The 6,000-nt window shown below is 37.7% G+C and overlaps 1 protein-coding gene across 12 annotated transcripts in view; it reads left to right on the forward strand.

Annotated features, from left to right (window-relative positions):
• Positions 1-6,000, forward strand: part of IQGAP2 (IQ motif containing GTPase activating protein 2) — a 304,848-nt gene extending 298,848 nt beyond the window's left edge. For all 12 annotated transcript variants that reach the window (NM_006633.5, XM_017008960.2, XM_047416641.1 and 9 more), the window contains 2 exons: positions 350-458; positions 5,068-6,000. In NM_006633.5, coding sequence (NP_006624.3) covers positions 350-458; positions 5,068-5,181 — 223 coding nt within the window. In that variant the 3' untranslated portion in view covers positions 5,182-6,000. The remainder of the gene's footprint in view (positions 1-349; positions 459-5,067) is intronic.

The raw sequence follows: 6,000 nt of genomic DNA on the forward strand, positions 1-6,000 counted from the left end.
CTGAAATACTCAATTGGCTATAGGTCAATAATGTTCATGTTCTGTGACTCACATATTTCCAATTATGTTTTATGCTCTTGAAGAGCAAGGACCGTATCTTCTATTTCTTTTGTAATAAAGCACCTATGTCAGAACTCTATGAGCTACAGATCTCAACAATAGCCATCAAACCTAGTGTTTGGAGAGCAGAATTGGGGGAAAGATGACGTGAGGTTTTTGGTGACTTCCTTAGGATTTTCTCAACAAGCCATTATTTAAAAATGATTATTTGAGATTCCATTAGTTTGTTTCAGCTTTAAGCACATCTGTATTTGTAATTTCTCATGTATGAATGTTCCTTTCTTCACAGGTTTAAGAATGTTACATTTGATATCATAGCTACTGAAGATGTAGGCATTTTCGATGTAAGATCAAAATTCCTTGGTGTTGAGATGGAAAAGGTGCAACTCAATATTCAGGTAAGCTGCTGGAATTTCTGCACATTGATGATAAATTTTATATGTGGATCATACATTGCTACCCTGGCTCTCTCTCTTCAGGACAACAATAAAGTTTAACAGAAAACCAGTGCCAGCCTTATTTGCCAATATTTGTTAAGTGTTGATGATTTTTAAGAGCTGTGACTTTTCAAATGATTGGAAATTGATATGCTTCTAGCTGGCAAACCATAGCAGTCAGTTTCTCTAAGCCATGTTTCCATTTTAAAGCTTAGACAAAAGAATATAATTTAAAAGTATTCAGAGCTATTAAATAAATGCTATAAATTTTCCTTTTATTGGAAACTTGCATTTCTTTCTAAGACTATGTATGCCCAGGACTGGAACTTTCATGATCTCATTTTTCCCTCTCTCCTAGAATGGTTTTTCTTTTTTGTGGGGGGAGGGGGTGGGGGTGGGGCATTGAGAAGGGGTCTTGCTCTGTCGCCCAGGCTGGAATACAGTGGCATGTATGCCCAGGACTGGAACTTTCATGATCTCATTTTTCCCTCTTTCCTAGAATGGTTTTTCTTTTTTGTGGGGGGAGGGGGTGGGGGGGGGCATTGAGAAAGGGTCTTGCTCTGTCGCCCAGGCTGGAATACAGTGGCACAATCATGGTTCACTGCAGCCTCAACCTCCTGGGCTCAAGCGATCCTCCTGCTTCAGCCTCTCGAGTAACTGGTACTACAGGCACACACCACCACATCTGGCTAATTTCTGTATTTTTTGTAGAGACAGGGTTTCACCACGTTGCCCAGGCTTGTCTTAGACTACTGGGCTCAAGTGATCTGCCTGGCTTAGCCTCCAAAAGTGCTGGGATTACAGGCATTAGCCACCACACCTGGCCCCTAGAATAGTTTTTACGTCAATTTATTAACTCTATTTGTCAAATGCTTGGGATCACAGGAATGAAAGGCATTATGCAAAACAGATATCTATACATAGAAAAATGGTGTTTGCAATATAAATTATCGTTATTTTATCATAAGAGCCACATTTAAGCCAAATACACGTAAATGAAAACCGAGAAATCCAGTTTCTGTGCAAAAAAAAAAAAAAAGAGAGCACTGCAAACAAATGTTCATCTGCCCCCAACTTCTTAATCCTTAGCACAAAACCAATTTAAAGAAGTAATTTATTTTTCTTTTTTGATGTAACACTTTTTAAATGGAAATAACATCTTACCTGGGCCCCAAACTACTTACAAAATGGTTTCCAGGTATTTTGCATATGTTTACATGAATCATCTCACTAAGATCCTGAGAGTGATGTGAATTCTGGCCTCACTGTCTGTGCAGCCCAGGGCTCCATGCACTGGAATTACTTCCCCATCATGGGAGTGTGTGCCAGAGCCCTTCTTTTCTGGCAGCCCTTGTAAGTTTAAAAGAAAAACGGGAGCTGAATGGGTTTGATAAGGACATTGAGATAATGGAGTAAATTAGAATTCGGAGATAAGATGAAAGCTATTATGTAATTATTGAAAGTATAATTAAGTAAACAGTATTGTTTTCTAACTTACTTTAAATGTCACTAAATGTATCCATTTAATAATTTAGCTAATTAGGGTCTTCAGTTATTTTGTGTAACAGATAAATACAGGAAGAGAAAAGAAGGTGCTTGTGGTGATACCCTTTGGTTAGTGATTCCTCTGTAGAAATAGCAAAAGACATATGTGATTGCCAAGAAGGAAATTATCCAGGGCCAGTCAATATCAACTGGACCAATGAGTCACAAGTGACCAGGAGACACCTTATATTGTGTTTAGAGAGAAAGCAATAATTCCATGAGACTTCCTTTGAGTACTGGTATAAAAACCAAGCTTCACTTGTTCCTTTGTTAAGGATTCTGTATACAGTAAGATTAGCTGTTCATACCATTCATTTATACACATAATGGATTGTGAAATGTTAATCCTTAGCTATATGCAGGTGACCAGTATGTCCTGGGTTTTTTAAATCAGTAGTGCATAATCAGAACTGGCTACATCCTTAGCAGGGCTCAGAGCAAAATAAAAATGCAGTGCCCTGTTTTTAAAATTATTAAGGATTTTAGGATGATGACAGAAGAGAATAAAACCCTGGGCATGGGACCCTGTGCGGCTGCACAGATTGCATACCCACGGAGCCAGCCCTGCATTTGATAGCTGTCAGATGTAAAGGCAGACTTCTATTTATATATGCAGCTTTCAGTCAATTGCATGAATGTGTAAATTGTCAAAGAGAAATGTGATGGCCAGGTCCTTACTGTGAGTAAAGGACCAGGAACAGGACCAAAGTTTGAAAGGACTAAAGAAAGCCCCTTCTAACATTACAGCTCTATGTCTCTTGGTTATCTTCAGCCCATTTTCCCTTCAGTTCCTAAAGAAAACCATAGGATAGAATTATATCCTATAATTATAGGCCATATAGGTAACAGGAGGATATGACTTATGTGATATATATTCTTCTTGTAAAAATAATGTCAGGTATTTATCGGGGACTGCAGGGTGGGCCTTCTTCCTCTCCTAGATGAAGAACTGAGGTTCAGACAGCTAATTATGGAAGATAATTAGCTGGGATAATTATGGAAGATAATGCAGCTGGGATCCAAGTTCTTCATCACTCTAGTCCACTGCCTGTCTCATAGGATTCCAGTTGATCCTGCAAGACAAGAGTAGCTTACAAAGGGTTTGCATATACCTTAATCTCATATCTCATTCCCAGTAGCACCCTTGTGAAATTGGCAGTGTTATCCCCAATTTACACACAGGGAAACAGAACTTCAGAGAAGTTATGTCATGTTGCAAGGTCTTAAGATAGCAAATGGCAGAGCTAAAACTAAAGTCTGCTTTTCAAGTCATGAGTCCAGCCATGTTTTCTCTGCTCCCTACTTTGGGGACCCAGCTACTTCCCCTACATATGCCATTCCTTTTCAATCTAACTCTATTGGTTTAATTCTTTTCCACTAGACTTTGTTTAACAGATGTTGCATTTCCCAGAGGAAAAGTGAATCTCCTCTACACTCTAAATAGCTAAAAGTATTATTGATGAAAGGACTTCAATTCCCTATAGAATTTTAGTTCTAGAAGCATATCTGAATAATGTAGGGGTTTTCTTAAGTGCAGTGAGAGGTAATTGAGGAAGTGGAGGAGGAAGCTGCCAAGAGTCAGAGTTCTCTCAAAGATGACTCCAACTTCTACAATTGACCTTGCTAGAAACAAGAAAATGAGACTTAGATATTGGGCCAGGACAGCTCAGGAATTATATCTTCCATTGGGAAAGGCTTCCTGTACCTATGTTACTATGAAATGTTACAGCTTAGTTTCATGCATATGGCTGGTGTGATCCAGTTACTTATTTTAAAAAGAGAGTTGATTTCCTTTGTTTATATGCTGGCAGTGAAAAACAGAATGACAGTTCGACTTAAGAATGAGGGCTTGTTCTCAGTACAGAAACAGAAGTAGCCTAGTTCAAGAAGTGCGGACCACCGCTTTGTACAATGGTCTCCAAACTTTGGTCACTTCATCAGGAAATAGTATGAGCACTTCTCTCCATACATAGTTATTTGTAAAGTATACATGCTTCTGCTATTGTACTCTAAAACGTGCTGTATTATATACCAAAAAAGTCCAAAAAATGAGAAAAAATAAATAGAAATAGGAGTTCTAATATTCTTTTTGCTTCCCCAGTGAATGTCTTGCTCACTTCACTTTAAAAAAACACTGCTTTCTGTGTTTTTGTTTTTGTTTTTGTTTTTGTTTTTGTTTTTCGGGTTTTTTGAGACAGAGTCTTTCTCTGTCGCTGAGGCTGGAGTACAGCAGTGCAATCTCGGCTCGCTGCAATCTCTGCCTACTCTGTTCAAGTGATTTTCCTGCCTCAGCCTCCTGAGTAGCTGGGATTACAAGTGTGCACCACCACGCCCAGCTAATTTTTGTATTTTTAGTAGAGATGGGGTTTCGCCATGTTGGCCAGGCTGGTCTCACTCTCCTGACCTCAAGTGATCCACCTGCCTCAGCCTCTCAAACTGCTGGTATTACAGGAATGAGCCACCACACCCAGCCAGAAAACACTGCTTTCTAAAGAATATGCATCTAGCCAGAACTTTGTGTTTTAACATTTTCGATTAAAAATTGAAATTATATATCTGACATTAACTTAATGATCATCATTTACTTTCATACAGCCCTTATCAATTCCAAAAAGCTATTTTCTTTCATCTAAGTCACAATCACTTGGGAATTTATTAAAATGCAAATTGATGGGCCCCACCAGAGAGCTACATAACAAGAAATTCCTGTGGGAGGAGCCCAGGCAGCCTTTATTTTAACTAGCCTATGTTTTTAACCAGATGATTCTGATGTACACTTAAGTTTTAGAACCCCCATCTATGGCCTGGTGCCATGGCATGCGCCTGTAGTCCTGGCTACTCGGGAGGCTGAGGTGGGAAGATAGCTTAAGCCAGGAGTTTGAGACCAACCTGGGCAACATAGTTAGACCCCACCCAGGTGATTAGGTCAATTGAATCTGACTTTTGTCAACAAATTCTTCTAATATGTTTTTTAAATGCACAAAATGTCAAAGTTGAGATTTAATGATGCTTTTTACAATTTCAGGATTTACTTCAGATGCAATATGAAGGAGTAGCTGTAATGAAAATGTTTGATAAGGTTAAAGTGAATGTAAACCTTCTCATATACCTGCTGAACAAGAAGTTCTATGGAAAGTGAAGTGCCTACAGAAATTTCTTGGATTCTGTATCATCTGGATTAGGAAATGAATTTGTTTAATATTTTTGTTTTTAAACATGATTGAAATCACTGCTTATAAATGTGTGATTTTTTTAAAACGACCAAAACTGTTCTGAAGAATGTACCCAGGTGCCTTTTTGCTAATTTGATACTATAATAGAATGAGACATAAAATGAATTAATGGAAACATATCCACACTGTACTGTGATATAGGTACTCTGATTTAAAACTTTGGACATCCTGTGATCTGTTTTAAAGTTGGGGGGTGGGAAATTTAGCTGACTAGGGACAAACATGTAAACCTATTTTCCTATGAAAAAAATTTTAAATGTCCCACTTGAATAACGTAATTCTTCATAGTTTTTTTAATCTATGGATAAATGGAAACCTAATTATTTGTAATGAATTATTTAGACAGTTCTAAGCCCTGTCTTCTGGGAGTTATCAATTTTAAAGAGAACTTTTGTGCAATTCAAATGAAGTTTTTATAAGTAATTGAAAATGACAACACAATAACACTTTCTGTATAAAAGTATATATTTTATGTGATTTATTCCTACTAAATGAAAGTGCACTACTGCCTCATGTAAAGACTCTTGCACGCAGAGCCTTTAAGTGACTAAGGAACAACATAGATAGTGAGCATAGTCCCCACCTCCACCCCTCACAATTTATTTGAATACTTCAATTGTGCCTCTCAATTTTTTGTAATGCTAAAAAATCAGTATCTAGATGGTTTTTAAATGTATTCTCTGGAAATTGTTTTATGTAAAATAAATGTTACTTAATTCCATTAA

This window comes from Homo sapiens, chromosome 5 (assembly GCF_000001405.40).
Source record: "Homo sapiens chromosome 5, GRCh38.p14 Primary Assembly".
In the NCBI taxonomy this organism is placed as follows: domain Eukaryota; kingdom Metazoa; phylum Chordata; class Mammalia; order Primates; family Hominidae; genus Homo; species Homo sapiens.